We start from the raw sequence: 18,027 nt of genomic DNA, 5'->3' as shown, positions 1-18,027 counted from the left end.
CATTTCTTTTTAATTTTAATGTAGCTACTAGAAAATTTATATATATGTATATATATGTGTGTGTGTATATATATATATATATATACACACACACACATATACATATAGCTTGTAATTGTGGCCCACACTGTTTTTCTATTAGAGCTGCTCTAGGTGATGTTTTCTTTTTCTAGGGAAAGTTCACTTTTTCTCCCGCTAAGCAGATAGACTGAGATGCTTTACTCCTCTCAGTCCCTGAGTGGAAGCTGCTTTGCAGTGGAAGCTGCTTTGCAGTTCTTGCAAGGTTCTCTCTAGTTCTGTTCTTTAACACTTCTGGGGCCTAGCCCCTCAAGGCTTTCAACTAGGAGCCTGGTATTTTCATGCTCCTTCCCCTTGGCAAGTTCTAAACTCTAGTGCTTCCCTCCTTAGCCCTGAAAAATTGCCAAAAACTCTGCTGTGCTTCTCAGAGGCCTCTTGCTTAACCTTTCAGCAACCTATCCTAGGCAACTTCAGAATGTGGCAAATATTGTGAGGGAAAAATAGGCCATGTATTTGAAGCCCTTGAAGTCTCTAATTTTGTCTTTTCTGAAAGACCCTAGTAATAGCTCTGCATGTTTCTCTGACTTCAAGAAACAACTCTCTACCTGGGCAAAGCCATAGTTTTTAGCCTCTCGCCCTTTACCAGCATCAACAAATGCTCCTGTTGTTAAAATGGGTGCAGAAAGACCATTCACCTCCCTGAGGCTCTCTCCTCCCTCGAATCCTGGTCTCCATTAGTCTTCATTGCTTTTTGCTTGTCTCTGATACCTATAAAATGATAATTTTTATGTTTTACCTATAAGCATTCTCAGCAGGGGCATTGGCTTGCCACAAACTACTCCATCCTCTTGAATTTTATTTTATTTTATTTTATTTTATTTTATTTTATTTTATTTTATTTTATTTTTTAAGACAGTCTCATTCTGTCATCCAGGCCAGAGTACAGTGGCGCAATCTTGGCTTACTGCAACCTCCGCCTCCAGGGTTCAAGCAATTCTCCTGCCTCAGCCTCCTGAGTAGAGTAACTAGGATTACAGGCATGCACCACCAAGCCCAGCTAATTTTTGTATTTTTAGTAGAGATGGGGTTCCACCGTTTTGGCCAGGTTGGTCTCGAACTCCTGACCTCGGGTGATCCACTTGCCTCGGCCTCCAAAAGTGCTGGGATTACAGACGTGAGCCACTGCGTTCAGGCAATCCTCTTGAATTTAAAAGAGACATTTTAAAAGTCCAGACCTTCTTCATGTGACTTCTATTGTGGAAGCTTTCTGTCTTGCCGTGCCTTCCGTGGATACCTGGTCCCTTGCTGGTGCCTTCAGAAAGTTGCCTTCTAAAAAAGAGATGTATATTTTTGTTTTTTTTTCCCCATATACCTCTCCTTTTATTGGTTAAAGATCAAGCGATTTATTTATTTATTTTTTATTATATTTTAAGTTCTAGGGTACATGTGCACAACGTGCAGGTTTGTTACATATGTATACATGTGCCATGTTGGTGTGCTGTACCCATTAACTCGTCATTTACATTAGGTATATCTCCTAATGCTATCCCTCCCCCTCTTTCCCCACCCCACGACAGGCCCCAGGGTGCGATGTTCCCCACCCTGTGTCCAAGTGTTCTCATTGTTCAATTCCCATCTATGAGTTAGAATATGTGGTGTTCGGTGTTCTGTCTTTGCGATAGTTTGCTCAGAATGATGATTTTCACCTTCATGCATGTCCCTACAAAGGACAAGAACTCATCCTTTTTTATGGCTGCATAGTATTCCATGGTGTATATGTGCCACATTTTCTTAATCCAGTCTATCACCGATGGTCATTTGGGTTGGTTCCAAGTCTTTGCTATTGTGAATAGTGCCACAATAAACATAAGTGTGCGTGTGTCTTTATAGCAGCTTGATTTATAATCCTTTGGGTATATACCCAGTAATGGGATGGCTGGGTCAAATGGTATTTCTAGTTCTAGATCCCTGAGGAATTGCCACACTGTCTTCCACAATGGTTGAACTAGTTTATAGTCCCACCAACAGTGTAAAAATGTTCCTATTTCTCCACATCCCCTCCAGCACCTGGGGTTTCCTGACTTTTTAATGATCGCCATTCTAACTGGTGTGAGATGGTATCTCATTGTGGTTTTGATTTGCATTTCTCTGATGGCCAGTGATGATGAGCATTTTTTCATGTGTCTGTTGACTGCATAAATGTCTTCTTTTGAGAAGTGTCTGTTCATATCCTTCACCCACTTTTTGATGGGTTTGTTTGATTTTTTCTTGTAAATTTGTTTAAGTTCTTTGTAGATTCTGGATATTAGCCCTCTGTCAGATGGGTAGATTGCAAAAATTTTCTCCCATTTTGTAGGTTGCCTTTTCACTCTGATGGTAGTTTCTTTTGCTGTGCAGAAGCTCTTTAGTTTAGTTAGATCCCATTTGTCAATTTTGGCTTTTGTTGCCATTGCTTTTGGTGTTTTAGACATGAAGTCCTTGCCCATGCCTATGTCCTGAATGGTATTACCTAGGTTTTCTTCTAGGGTTTTTATGGTTTTAGGTCTAACATTTAAGTCTTTAATCCATCTTGAATTAATTTTTGTGTAAGGTGTAAGGAAGGGATCCAGTTTCAGCTTTCTACATATGGCTAGCCAGTTTTCCCAGTACCATTTGTTAAATAGGGAATCCTTTCCCCATTTCTTGTTTTTGTCAGGTTTGTCAAACATCAGATGGTTGTAGATGTGTGGTATTATTTCTGAGGCCTCTGTTCTGTTCCATTGGTCTACATCTCTGTTTTGGTACCAGCACCATGCTGTTTTGGTTTTAGTATATTTTGAAGTGAAGTAGCGTGATGCCTGCAGCTTTGTTCTTTTTGCTTAGGATTGACTTGGCAATGTGGGCTCTTTTTTGGTTCCATATGAACTTTAAAGTAGTTTTTTCCAGTTCTGTGAAGAAAGTCATTGGTAGTTTGATGGGGATGACATTGAATCTATAAATTACCTTGGGCAATATGGCCATTTTCATGATATTGATTCTTCCTATCCATGAGCATGGAATGTTCTTCCATTTGTTTGTGTCCTCTTTTATTTCGTTGAGGAGTGGTTTGTGGTTCCTGAAGAGGTCCTTCACATCCCTTGTAAGTTGTATTCCTAGGTATTTTATTTTCTTTGTAGCAGTTGTGAATGGGAGTTCACTCATGATTTGGCTCTCTGTCTGTTATTAGTGTATAGGAATACTTGTGATTTTTACACATTGATTTTGTATCCTGAGACTCTGCTGAAGTTGCTTATCAGCTTAAGGAGATTTTGGGCTGAGACAGTGGGGTTTTCTAAATATATAATCATGTCATCTGCAAACAGGGACAATATGACTTCCTCTTTTCGTAATTGAATGCCCTTTATTTCTTTTTCCTGCCTGATTGCCCTGGCCAGAACTTCCAACACTATGTTGAATAGGAGTGGTGAGAGAGGGCATCCCTGTCTCGTGCCAGTTTTCAAAGGGAATGCTTCCAGTTTTTGCCCATTCAGTATGATATTGGCTGTGGGTTTGTCATAAATAGCTCTTATTATTTTGAGATACGTCCCATCAATTCCTAGTTTATTGAGAGTTTTTAGCATGATGGGCTGTGTTGAATTTTGTCAAAGGCCTTTTCTGCATCTATTGAGAAAATCATGTGGTTTTTGTCTTTGGTTCTGTTTATATGATGGATTACGTTTATTGATTTGCATATGTTGAACCAGCCTTGCATCCCAAGATTGAAGCTGACTTGATCGTGGTGGGTAAGCTTTTTGATGTGCTGCTGGATTCGGTTTGCCAGTATTTTATTGATGATTTTTGCACCGATGTTCATCAGGGATATTGGTCTAAAATTCTCTTTTCTTGTTGTGTCTGTGCCAGACTTTGGTATCAGGATGATGCTGACCTCATCAAATGAGGTAGGGAGGATTCCCTCTTTTTCTATTGATTGGAATAGTTTCAGAAGGAATGGTACCAGCTCCTCTTTGTACCTCTGGTAGAATTTGTCTGTGAATCCATCTGGTCCTGGACTTGTTTTGGTTGGTAAGCTATTAATTATTGCCTCAATTTCAGAGCCTGTTATTGGTCTATTGAGGGATTCAGCTTCTTCCTGGTTTAGTCTTGGGAGGGTGTATGTGTCCAGGAATTTATCCATTTCTTCTTCATCTTCTAGTTTATTTGCATAGAGGTGTTTATAGTGTTCTCTGATGGTAGTTTGTACTTCTGTGGGATCGGTGGTGATATCCCCTTTATCATTTTTCATTGCATCTATTTGATTCTTTTCTCTTTTCTTCTTTATTAGTCTTGCTAGCGGTCTATCAATTTTGTTGATCTTTTCAAAAAACCAGCTCCTGGATTCATTGATTTTTTTTTTTTTGAAGGGTTTTTTTTGTGTCTCTGTGTCCTTCAATTCTGCTCTGATCTTAGTTATTTCTTGCCTTCTGCTAGCTTCTGAATTTGTTTGCTCTTGCTTCTCTAGTTCTTTTAATTGTGATGTTATTGTGTCAATTTTGATCTTTCCTGCTTTCTCTTGTGGGCATTTAGTGCTATAAATTTCCCTCTACACACTGCTTTAAATGTGTCCCAGAGATTCTGGTTTGTTGTGTCTTTGTTCTCATTGGTTTCAAAAAACATCTTTATTTCTGCTTTCATTTCGTTATGTACCCAGTAGTCATTCAGGAGCAGGTTGTTCAGTTTCCCTGTAGTTGAGCGGTTTTGAGTGAGTTTCTTAATCCTGAGTTGTAATTTGATTGCATTGTGGTCTGAGAGACAGTTTGTTGTGATTTGATTGCATTGTGGTCTGAGAGACAGTTTGTTGTGATTTCTGTTCTTTTACATTTGCTGAGGGATGCTTTACTTCCAACTATGTGGTCAATTTTGGAATAAGCGTGTGGGGTGCTGAGAAGAATGTATATTCTGTTCATCTGGGGTGGAGAGTTCTATGGATGTCTATTAGGTCTGCTTGGTGCATAGCTGAGTTCAAGTCCTGAATATCCTTGTCAACCTTCTGTCTCGTAGATGTGTCTAATATTGACAGTGGGGTGTTAAAGTCTCCCATTATTATTGTGTGGGAGTCTAAGTCTCTTTGTATGTCTCTAAGGACTTGCTTTATGAATCTGGGTGCTCCCGTATTGGGTGCATATATATTTAGGATAGTTAGCTGTGACCTGTGCACTGGAGCTGTTCTTATTCGTCCATCTTGGGACCCGCGCCTCCCAGGAGATGTATATTTTTATATCTTCAGCATATAGCCACTTGAGGTACCAGAAGTGATGGACCTGGACAGTTATATACATTAAAGCCTGTATTGTGGGACTAATTTTAGGACAGAACTATGAGGAATGCAACATTTAAGGAACATACAGAGGAGTCTCTGCAGAGACAAGGGAGAAGTGAGAGAGGTGGGAGGAATACCTGAAGAAGGTGGAATCACAGAGGCAACAAAACAGGACATTTCAGTAGAGATTTTGCACCAAATACTGACAGAAAAAAGGCTAAGAAGGTTCAAACTGAAAAGGATCCCATGGATTTAGCAATAATGAAATTTATGTTATCTTACTATCTTAAATTTCTGAGGAAAGTATAACAATTATACAGAAATAAAATTATCGTCGTTTTATTTTTGACCTACAAAAATGACAATTTGATATGATTCATCCTAATAGATGGAGAAATAAAGGTTAGCTAGCATAAGTAATTTGCTTCAATTCCTGATCAGAAGTGAAATTCAAATCTAGGTCTTCTTGTATCATCTGGTCTGATGTTCTTTCTACTGCCCTACATTCTTTTATTCATTGCTATCGTTCCTTTCTTATTCCTTATTTGAAGACATGTATTCAGGAGACCCATATCTCATGCAATGATACCCATAGTCTGAAGGTAAAGGGATCTGCCCAGCAAATCCCTTTATGTTTGCCAAACAAATTCCCTTTATCTTTTCCACTTGATTGGCAGATTTTTCAGATAAAAAGTCTGGGTTGCTATAATTTCAGACAAAACAACCTTTAAAACAACAAAGATCACAAAAGACAAAAAGGGCATTACATAATGGTAAAGAGCTCAATTCAAGAAGAGGACTTAACTGCCCTAAATATATATGCAGTCAACACAGAAGCACCCAAATTCATAAAGCAAGTTCTTAGAGACCTACAAAGAGACTTAGAAAACCCCACAATAATAGTGGGGAGACTTTAACACCACACTGTTAGTATTAGATCATTGAGGCAGAAAACTAACACAGATATTCAGGATCTGAACTCAACACTTAACTAAATGGGCCTAATAGATATCTACAGAACTCTCCACTCCAAAACAGCAGAATATACATTTTTCTCATCTACATGTGGCACATACTATAAAATTAACCACACAATCAGGCATAAAACAATCCTAAGACATTCAAAACTGAAATTATACAAACCATGTCCTTAGACTACAATGCAATAAAGATAGAAATCAATACTAAGAAAATCACTGAAAACCATGCAATTACATGGAAATGAAACAGCCTGCTTCGAGTGACTTCTGGGTACACATGAAATTAAGGCAGAAATCAAGAAATTATTTGAAACTAATGAAAACAAAGATAAAATATACCAGAATCTCTGGGGCACAGCCAAAGCAATATTAAGATGGAAGTTTATAGCACTAAATGCCCACATCAAAAAGTTAGAAAGATCTCAATTTAACAACCTACGATCATAACTAAAAGAACTAGGGAACCGAGAGCAAACCAACCCCAAGTCTAGCAGAATACAAGAAGTAACCAAAATCAGAGCTGAACTGAAGGAAATTGAGACATGAAAAACCATACAAAGGATCATTGAATCTAGGAGCTGGTTATTTGAAAGAATAAGATAGACTGCTAGCTAGACTAATAAAGAAAAAAAGAGAAAAGATCCAAAATACAGTCAGAAATGACAAGAGGGATGTAACCACTGACCCCACAGAAATCCAAAATCCCTGAGAGACTATTATGAACCCCTCTTTGCACATAAGCTAGAAAACCTAGAAGCAGATACATTCTTTTTAGCCAGGTATGGTGGTTCACGCCTGTAATCCCAGCTACACAGGAGACTGAGGTAGGAGGATGGCTAGAGCCTGAGAGGCAGAGTTTGCAGTGAGCCTTCAAAAAAAGAAAAGGAAAAAGAAATGGATACATTCTTGGAAATATAATCTCTGAAGATTGAACAAGGAAGATATTGAATCCCTAAACAGATCAATAATGATTTCTGAAACTGAATCAGTAATAAAAAGCCTACCAACCAGGAAAAGCCCAGAACCACACATATCCATAGCCAAATTCTACTGGTTGTGTAAGGAAGAGCTGGTTACTAATCCTACTGAAATTTTGAGGAAGAGGGACTCCCCTAATTCATTCTGTGAAGCCAACAGCATCCTGACACCAAAACCTGGCAGAGACACAACAACAACAAAAAAGAAAACTTCAGGCCAATATCCTTCATGAACATAGATGCAAAAATCTTCAACAAAATACTAGCAAACTGAATCCAGCAACACATCAAAAAGCTAATTCACCAACATCAAGTGGGCTTCATCCCTGGAATACAAAGTTGGTTCAACACATGCAGATCAATAAATGTAATGTAATTCACCACATAAACAACTGAAAACAAAAAGCATGTGATCATTTCAATAGATGCAGAAAAGGCTTTTAATAAAATTCAACATCCTTTCATGATAAAAACCCTCAACAAATCAAGCATTGAAGGAACATACTTCAAAATAATAGGAGACATCTTTGACAAACCCACAGCCAACATCATACTGAATGGGCAAAAGCTGGAAGCATTCCTCTTGAAAACTGGAACGAAACAAGGATGCCTTCACTCACCACTCCTATTCAGCATAGTCCTGGAAGTTCTAGCCAGAGCAATCAGGCAAGAGAAATAAATAAAGACATCCAAATAGGAAGATCGGAACTCAAACTAACACTGTTTGCAGATGATATGATGCTAGACCTACACAAACACCATAGTTACTCTGCCCCAAAGCTCCTTGATCTGATAAATGACTTCAACAAAGTTTCAGATACAAAACCAGTGTACAAAAATCAGTAGCATACCTATACTCCAACAACATCCAAGCTGAGAGTCACATCAAGAATGCAGTTCTATTCACAGTAGCCACAGAGAGAAAAACCTGCCTAGGAATACACGTAACCAAGGAGGGGAAATGAGAATTACAAGATACTACTCAAAAAAAATAAAATAAAATCAGAGATGATACAAACACATGAGAAAAACCTTCCAGGCTCATGGATAGGAAGACTCAATATTGTTAAAAGGCCATACTGCCCAAAGCTATTTACAGATTCAGTGCTATACCTATCAAATTACCAATGACATTGTTCACAGAATTGGAAAAACCTGTTTTGAAATTCATACGGAACCAAAAAAGAGCTTAAATAGCCAAGATGATCTTACACAAGAAGAACAAAGCTAGAAGCATCATATTACCTGACTTGAAACTGTAGTATAAGGCTACATTAACAAGACAGCATGATAGTGATACAAAAACAGACACATACACCAATGGAACAGAATAGAGAGCCCAGAAATGATGCTGCACACCTGCAACCATCTGATCTTCAACGAAGTCGACAAAAACAAGCAATGGGGGAAGGACTTCCTATTCAATAAATGGTGTTGGGATACCTGGCTAACCAAAGGCAGAAGATTGAAACTGGATCCCTTCCTTACACTGTATACAAAAATCGGTAATACTGCTGTTGGGAATGTAAATTAGTTCAGCCATTTTGGAAAGCAGTTTGGCAGTTTCTCAAAGAGATTAAAAATGGAATTACCATTTCACCCACAAATTCCATTATTCGGTATATACCCAAGGGAATATAAATCGTTCTACCATAAAGACATATGCACATGTATGTTCATTGCAGCTAATAGTAAAGACATGGAATCAACCTAAAAGCCCATCAGTAGTAGAGTAGATTTTTTAAATGTACATATATCACATTTTGGAATTCCAAATTTCACATAATGGAATACTGTGCAGCCATAAAAGAGAATGAGATCATGCCCTTTACAGCAACATGGATGGAGCTGGATGCCAGTATCCTAAGCAAACTGACACAGGAACAGAAAACCATATACTGCATGATCTCACTTTTAAGTGGGAGCTAAACATTGAATACACATGGACACAAAGAAGGGAACAATAGTGGCTGGGACTTTCTTGAGGGTGGAAGATGGGAGGAGGGTGGGAATGGAAAACTACCTATCGGGTATTATGCCTACTACCTGGGTGACTAAATAATCTTTATACCAAATCCTCATGATATGCAATTTACCTTTATAATAAACTGCACGTGTGCCTCTGAACCTAAAATAAAAGTTAGAAAAAGATATTTAGCCTTTTACAACAAAAATAATATTATGTATATAATTTTGTAAGTTTAAAAAATTTTTACTATGTACATATGTATGTAACTTTTTAATGATAGTTAAATATGATTAATCTGGAAATAGTTTTACTTTTTTCAGTCCAAAGATTTTCTGTAATTTCTTCTTAAAATGTGTTTACTATCTTGGGCTTTTGATAAAATTGTTCTTTTTAATTGACATTGGCTTCACATTTATTCAGAATTGTCATGCAGATGAGTAGAACACTCTATCTAGTTGTTCTTTTGTTATGCGTCTTTTTTAAAAAATAAGTTACTTTAAGACTAGTTAAGCTATATAATCTTAACTCTCCAGGGACGACTTCTGGAGCAGTTTCTCTGTATAGAAACTTTTCCGATTTTCTAGTCTAAAATGAATGATTTGACCATGTTTAGCAGGGGGACTGATTTTGACTTTCAAAGTCATCTTCTTAGGTGGTCGCCTTCTTCACTAGGGCAGAAGAGCTTGCTTTCCATAGTGAGCCTTTTGAGTTGGAGTCTGTCTTTCTTCTTAAGCTGCTTTTGTGGTAGCTGCTTCCTTTTAACACATTTGGAACTTCTGAAGTTTCTTTTGGATCATATTAGACCTTTTTTCTCCAGAACTAGGTCATCATTAATGTTAACTTGTTCAGTTTCTTTCTAAGTGAAAGGATGGTTAAAATTCTAGAATCTGCTGCTTCATGTGTTGACAGTTCTCGTAGTAAGATTCTACAGAATTTCATTAAGTCACAGATATGGTTAGTAAAGGAGAAGTAGTGAGAGTAGGGAGAAAAGAGCAACTACTGAAGCAACTATCAAGTAGTTTTTCCTTCCTTCTTTTATTTTCCATGGCAGTAGGAAGACATGTAAACAGTTTTGTACTTAATATTTGACATGTTTTTTATTGATGAATTACTTCCTTTTTTTAATGTAAGCTTTGTTTATGCTGCAGTTAATACTGTAAATCAGTGCATGCCTAGCGGGTTACATCTGCTCTTAAGTAAGTCACAGCCAGAGTAGATAGTGACTTAAAGGTTGCTAATAGGAAGCAGAAGATCCAGAAGCCAGACTGAGAGATGTCGATGTCTTCATAGAGAAACTCTAATGGATCCTGTTTACACCACTGTAGGTTTCATACCATAGCAGCTGATATCAACGAAAGAATATTGAGTGATGGGAAAGGTGGTGGGTGGTTCCTATTCAGAAGTGACCTGGCAGTCTTTGGGTTGGCAGTAGTGCTGATTTTGTGACCCATTACATAACTTCTCCTAATGTTAGTACAATAGTATTTAATCTTACAGTATTTAAGAACTATACATCGTCAAAACTCTTCATTTTGTAAAACTTTAACTCTCTACCATGTAAACAATAAATTTCAATTTCTCTTTCCCCTTGGCAACCACTATTCTACTTTCTGTGTCTATGATTTTTGACTACTCTTAAGTACCTCATCTAAGCAAAATCATGCAGTATTTGTCTTTTTGTGGCTGGTGTATTTCACTTAGAATAATGTCCTCAAGGTTCATCCATGTTGTAGCACATGTCAGAATTAATTTCTTTTCTTTTCTTTTCTTCTTTCTTTCCCTCCCTCCCTCCCTCCCTCCCTCACTCCCTCCTTCCCTCCCTCCCTCCCTCCTTCCTTCTTTCTTTCTTTCATTCATTTATTATACTTTAAGTTCTAGGGTACATGTACACAATGTGCAGGTTTGTTACATAGGTATACATGTACCATGTTGGTTTGCTGCACCCATTAACTCGTCATTTACATTAGGTATTTCTCCTAATGCTATCCCTCCCCCTGCCCTGCACCCTACGACAGGCCCCGGGGTGGGCCCTGTGTCCAAGTGTTCTCATTGTTCAATTCCCATTTATGAGTGAGAACATGCGGTGTTTGGTTTTCTGTCCTTGCGATAGTTGGCTTAGAATGATGGTTTCCAGCTTCATGCATGTCCCTGCAAAGGACATGAACTCATCCTTTTTTATGGCTGCATAGTATTCCATGGTATATATATGTCACATTTTCTTAATCCAGTCTATCACTGATGGACAGTTGGGTTGGTTCCAAGTCTTTGCTATTGTGAATAGTGCCACAATAAACGTGTGCATGTGTCTTTATAGTAGCATGATTTATAATCCTTTGGGTATATACCCAGTAATGGGAATGCTGGGTCAAATAGTATTTCTAGTTCTAGATCTCTGAGCAGTCACCACACTGTCTTCCACAATGGTTGAACTAGTTTACAGTCCCACCAACAGTGTAAAAGTGTTCCTATTTCTCCACATCCTCTCCAGCACCTGTTGTTTCCTGACTTTTTAATGATTGCCATTCTAACTGATGTGAGATGGTATCTCATTGTGGTTTTGATTTGCATTTCTCTGATGACCAGTGATGATGAGCATGTTTTAGTGTGTGTTGGCTGTATAAATGTCTTCTTTTGAGAAGTGTCTGTTCATTTCCTTTGCCCACTTTTTGATGGTTTTTTTTTCTTGTAAATTTGTTTAAGTTCTTTTTAGATTCTGGATATTAGCCCTCTGTCAGATGGGTATATTGCTTTTCTCTCATTCTTTAGGTTGCCTTTTTTGCCTTTTCACTCCAATGGTAGTTTCTTTTGCCGTGCAGAAGCTCTTTAGTTTAATTAGATCCCATTTGACAATTTTGGCTTTTGTTGCCACTGCTTTTGGTGTTTAGACATAAAGTTCTTGGCCATGCCTATGTCCTGAATGGTATTACCTAGGTTTTCTTCTAGGGTTTTTATGGTTTTAGGTCTAACATTTAAGTCTTTAATCCATCTTGAATTAATTTTTGTATAAGGTGTAAGGAAGGGATCCAGTTTCAGCTTTCTCCATATGGCTAGCCAGTTTTCCCAGCACCATTTATTAAATAGAGAATCCTTTCCCCATTTCTTGTTTTTGTCAGGTTAATCAAAGATGAGATGGTTGTAGATATGTGGTGTTATTTCTGAGGCCTCTGTTCTGTTGCATTGGTCTATATCTCTGTTTTGGTATCAGTACCATGCTGTTTAGGTTACTGTAGCCGTGTAGTATAGTTTGAAGTGAGGTAGCATGATGCCTCCAACTTTGTTCTTTTTGCGTAGGATTGTCTTGGCAATGCGGGCTCTTTTTTGGTTTCATATGAACTTTAAAGTAGTTTTTTCCAGTTCTATGAAGAAAGTCATTGGTAGCTTGATGAGGATAGCATTGAATCTATAAATTACCTTGGGCACTGTGGCCATTTTCACGATATTGATTCTTCCTATCCATGAGCATGGAATGTTCTTCCATTTGTTTGTGTCCTCTTTCATTTCATTGAGCAGTGGTTTGTAGTTCTCCTTGAAGAGAAGTGGTTGTGTAGTTCTCCTTCACATCCCTTGTAAGTTGTATTCCTAGGTATTTTATTTTCTTTGTAGCAGTTGTGAATGGGAGTTCACTCATGATTTGGCTCTCTGTTTGTCTGTTATTGGTGTAGAGGAATGCTTGTGATTTTTGCACATTGATGCTGCATCCTGAAACATATTGGTCTAAAATTCTCTTTTCTTGTTGTGTCTCTGCCAGGCTTTGGTATCAGGATGATGCTGGCCTCATCAAATGAGGTAGGGAGGATTCCCTCTTTTTCTCTTGATTGGAATAGTTTCTGAAGGAATGGTACCAGCTCCTCTTTGTACCTCTGGTAGAATTCGTCTCTTAATCCATCTGGTCCTAGACTTGTTTTGGTTGGTAGGCTATTAATTATTGCCTCAATTTCAGAGCCTGTTATTGGTCTATTCAGGGATTCAACTTCTTCCTGGCTTAGTCTTGGGTGGGTGTATTTGTCCAGGAATTTATCCATTTCTTGTAGATTTTCTAGTTTATTTGCGTAGAGGTGTTTATAGTATTCTCTGGTGGTAGTTTGTATTTCTGTTGGTTCAGTGGTGATATTGCTTTATCATTTTTTATTGTGTCTATTTGCTTCTTTTCTCTTTTCTTCTTTATTAGTGTTGCTAGCGGTCTATCAATTTTGTTGATATTTTCAAAAAACCAGCTCCTGTATTCATTGATTTTTTGAAGGTTTTTTGTGTCTCTATCTCCTTCAGTCCTGCTCTGATCTTAGTTATTTTTTGCCTTCTGCTGGCTTTTGAATGTGTTTGCTCTTGCTTCTCTAGTTCTTTTAATTGTGATGTTATTGTGTCAATTTTAGATCTGTCCTGCTTTCTCTTGTGGGCATTTAGTGCTATAAATTTCCCTCGACACACTGCTTTACATGTGTCCCAGAGATTCTGGTATGTTGTGTCTTTGTTCTCATTAGTTTCAAAGAACATCTTTATTTCTGCCTTCATTTTGTTATGTACCCAGTAGTCATTCAGGAGCAGGTTGTTCAGTTTCCATGTAGTTGAGCCGTTTTGAGTGAGTTTCTTAACCCTGAGTTTTAATTTTATTGCCCTGTGGTCTGAGAGACAGTTTGTGAATTTGATTGCACTGTGGTCTTAGAGACAGTTTGTGATAATTTCTGTTCTTTTATATTTGCTGAGGAGTGCTTTACTTCCAACTATATGGTCAATTTTGGAATAAGTGCAATGTGGTGCTGATAAGTATGTATATTCTGTTGATTTGGGGTGGAAAGTTCTGTGGATGTCTATTAGGTCCGCTTGGTGCAGAGCTGAGTTCAATTCCTGGATATGCTTGTTAACTTTCTGTCTCATTGATCTGTCTAATGTTGACAGTGGGGTGTTAAAATCTCCCATTATTATTGTGTGGGAGTCTAAGTCTCTTTATAGATCTCTAAGGACTTGCTTTATGAATCTGGGTGCTCCTGTATTGGGTGCATATATATTTAGGATAGTTAGCTCTTCTTGTTGAATTGATCCCTTTACCATTATGTAATGGCCTTCTTTGTCTCTTTTGATCTTTGTTGGTTTAAAGTCTATTTTATCAGAGACTAGGATTGCAACCCCTGGTTTTTTTTGTTTTCCATTTGCTTGGTAGATCTTCCTCCATCCCTTTATTTTGAGGCTGTGTGTGTCTCTGCACGTGAGATGGGTCTCCTGAATGCAGCACACTGATGGGTCTTGACTCTTTATCTAATTTGCCAGTCTGTGTCTTTCAATTGGAGCATTTAGCCCATTTACATTTAAGGTTAATATTGTGATGTGTGAATTTGTTCCTGTCATTGTGATGTTAGCTGGTTATTTTGCTCCTTAGTTGATGCAGTTTCTTCCTAGCATTGATGGTCTTTACAATTTGGCCTGTTTTTGCAGTGTCTGGTACTGGTTGTTCCTTTCCATATTTAGTGCTTCCTTCAGGAACTCTTGTAAGGCAGGCCTGGTGGTGAACTCAGCATTTGCTTGTCTGTAAAGTATTTTATTTCTCCTTCACTTATGAAGCTTAGTTTGGCTGGATATGCAGTTCTGGCTTGAAAATTCTTTTCTTTAAGAATGTTGAATATTGGCCCCCACTCTCTTCTGGCTTGTAGAGTTTCTGGTGAGAGATCTGCTATTAGTCTGATGGGCTTCCCTTTGTGGGCAACCCGACCTTTCTGTCTGGCTGCCCTTAATATTTTTCCTTCATATCAACCTTGGTGAATCTGACAAGTATGTATCTTGGTGTTGCTCTTCTCGAGGAGTATCTTTGTGGTGTTCTCTGTATTTCCTGAATTTAAATGTTGGCCTGCCTTGCTAGATTGGGGAAGTTCTTCTGGGCAATATCCTGAAGAGTGATTTCCACCTTGGTTCCATTCTGGCCGTCACTTTCAGGTATACCAATCAGATGTAGATTTGGTCTTTTCACATAGTACCATATTTCTTGGAGGCTTTGTTCATTTCTTTTTACTCTTTTTTCTCTAACCTTCTCTTCTCACTTCATTTCATTCATTTGATCTTCCATCACTGTTACCCTTTCTTCCACTTGATCGAATCAGCTATTGAAGCTTGTGCATGCGTCACATAGTTCTCGTGCCATGGTTTTCAGCTTCATGGGGTCATTTAAGGTCTTCTCTTTGCTGTTTATTCTAGTTAGCCATTCGTCTAATCTTTTTTCAAGGTTTTTAGCTTCTTTGCGATGGGTTCGAATATCCTCCTTTAGCTCGGAGAAGTTTGTTATTTCTGATCATCTGAAGCCTTCTTCTCTCAACTCGTCAAAGTCATTCTCCGTCCAGCTTTGTTCCGTTGCTGGCGAGGAGCTGCATTTCTTTGGAGGAGAAGAGGTGCTCTGATTTTTAGAATTTTCAGCTTTTCTGCTCTGGTTTCTCCCCATCTTTGTGGTTTTATCTACCTTCGGTCTTTGATGATGGAACTAGAGAGGGTGGGTTCCTCCCAGGCAAGCAGCATGGACAAGAAGCTGTGGGGAGTGTGGTCTTCTCATTTCTGTCTCAACAACAGCCTGCAGCTGGTCAGTTGGGACCTTCCCAGGGGTGCATGGGAGCGCCAAGTCTCCCTTCTCCCTCCTTAGACCAGCACAGCAGCAGCAGCCGTGTCTCTAGATCTCCAGTATCTAGATTCTCCAAGTGGCGCCCAGCTGAGGTTGCTCCAGGATCTGTGGGATGCCTGTGAGATTCTGAGTTTCCTTTCTGGAGTAACGTCTCTTTACAGTCTGTAGACAGCTTATTATGTCAGGCCCAAGGCCCTAGTTGGTAGAGTGTTTCTGTCATCACTAAGATCCTATAAGCCTGTTTCGGAGTGTAGAGCCGTGGGGATATCTCCATATCTCTCATATTGTTTCCCCACATCCAGGAGCCTCTCCTGGCTGTGAGTGAGTTCCCTGCCTGGGCAAGCTACCTCGAACCCTGTCGTTAATTACTTCTGGTACTTCCCATCTCTTCCCTGATGAATCCTAGCCTTCTTTCCTAGATTATCTGTTCAAAATATGAGTATCTACTTAGTATTCTGGTTCCTTTTCATGGAGGAGGCACATACTACTTGTGTCTAGTCAGCCATCTGTGTTTCACATATTTTTAAAAGTTGTGAGACATGTACTTTCTAGTGTATTTGTTTTATTCTGGCAGAGAGTACAAGTTGTATAAATTGTACGAGTTCAGTAAACATGAAGCACATCTATTTTTATTTTGTCTACTAAGATGGTACATCTAAAGTGCTTAGCAACTATAAGTAGACCATGGTAAAAGTGTCCAATAACTGGTAGTGATTATTATCATATTGTCATTCTTTCGTTGAGCAAAATGTTAATTATAAGTTATTTTATTATAGAATGCATTCATTGTTATAAATTATATTTGTTGAATAAAAGCATAATCTGATTTTTTTTCCCTTGGCAGCAACTTGAGTTGGTGGAACCAAGTGGCTGGATTCATGTTCCCTTAACTGACAATCATAAGAAGCCAACTCGTACATTCATGATACAGATTGCTGTTCTAGCCAATCACCAGAATGGAAGAGACACCCATATGAGACAAATTAAAATATACACACCAGTAGAAGAGAGCTCCATTGGTAAATTTCCTAGATGTACAACTATAGATTTCATGATGTATCGTTCAATAAGGTGACTTTAAAATGAGACGAAAATCATTAAACGTATCTTTGTTTTATCCTGTATTTAAATAATATATCATGTACCTTTATTGAACAAGGCATCCGTTATATCTAATTTTGTATATGTTTAAAAATATTTTATTGTAACTTTGACAAATAAATTTGGGGTCATATTATCTTTATTTTCTTTAACATGTAATAAAGCTCACATATTTTACATTACTAAAAATGGATTTGAAGCCAATCATTTTATTTTCCCTTGTATCAAAAGAAAAGAGTTCCTTGTATCAAAAGAAAAGAGTTGAACTGAAAATTTCAGTATATACACAATTATAATAGCTAGGTGATTATTTCATTAGTGTTCATACATTAGAGTAATGGTTTATTGCATATTTGAGAACAAGACTGTGTTTTATCAATATATATCATCTTTAATAGGTCAAAATTACTATTTTTTCTACCCAGAGGAAGGTTATTCTTTTAATACTGGATCTTTTAAAAAACAGTGTCAAATAAGCTTAGTGTTAGGTTGTCTGATGAGAACCAATCTAATATGGGGAGTATAATTAATTGTCTCATATTCACCTTCACGGAATACTTACAGCCCTAGGGTTGTCTGTATCCTAATGATATTATGTAAAGATTGCCTGTATAATCTAGCAGTACTTATGGAAGAGTTCTAGCAGTACTTATGGAAGAGTTATTTTCAAATTTGTGTCTGACATTGTAGCATTCCCTGGGCAGTCATATATCCCATAAAATCGTAAAAGTATGTGAAATTTTTTATATATATTAAAAGATTTTAAAGAAATACATGGAAATGTGGTTTTTTCCATGGTTTAAAATGAGTAGATTTGATTTTGTATGCTGTTTTCTCTAGATGTATTACTTTTTTTCGGGGGATGGTTATTTAGCCACAGAATTTACCTAGATTCACTCTTGTTTGGAAAAGATTGCTCTCTGTGGTTCATGCATTGCTGGGTACACTAAAGTATTAAATAGTGAATATTATTTAAAAAATAGTGTGTTTGCTTTATTCTGGCAGAGAGTACTAATTTATTTGGATACTATAGAAAATGGTTTCACTTTTTCACTCATTAAAAACTCTGCTCTTCTTCCTGTAAGTTCTGGGAAGAATTGTATTATTACTTT

At 37.9% G+C, this 18,027-nt stretch overlaps 1 protein-coding gene across 16 annotated transcripts in view; it reads left to right on the top strand.

Annotated features, from left to right (window-relative positions):
- Nucleotides 1–17,687, top strand: part of ANAPC10 (anaphase promoting complex subunit 10) — a 103,997-nt gene extending 86,310 nt beyond the window's left edge. For 13 of the 16 annotated variants that reach the window (NM_001256708.2, NM_001256712.2, NM_014885.5 and 10 more), the window contains one exon: nt 16,659–17,686. In NM_001256708.2, coding sequence (NP_001243637.1) covers nt 16,659–16,889 — 231 coding nt within the window. In that variant the 3' untranslated portion in view covers nt 16,890–17,686. Of the gene's footprint in view, nt 1–12,967; nt 13,006–16,658 lie in introns of all 16 variants that reach the window. The other 3 variants (NM_001256710.2, NM_001256711.2, NR_046345.1) reach the window with 2 other exon arrangements.
- The last annotated feature ends 340 nt before the right edge of the window (nt 17,688–18,027 follow it).

This window comes from Homo sapiens, chromosome 4, assembly GCF_000001405.40.
Source record: "Homo sapiens chromosome 4, GRCh38.p14 Primary Assembly".
Lineage (NCBI taxonomy): Eukaryota > Metazoa > Chordata > Mammalia > Primates > Hominidae > Homo > Homo sapiens.
This window is presented reverse-complemented; position numbering and strand designations above follow the sequence as displayed.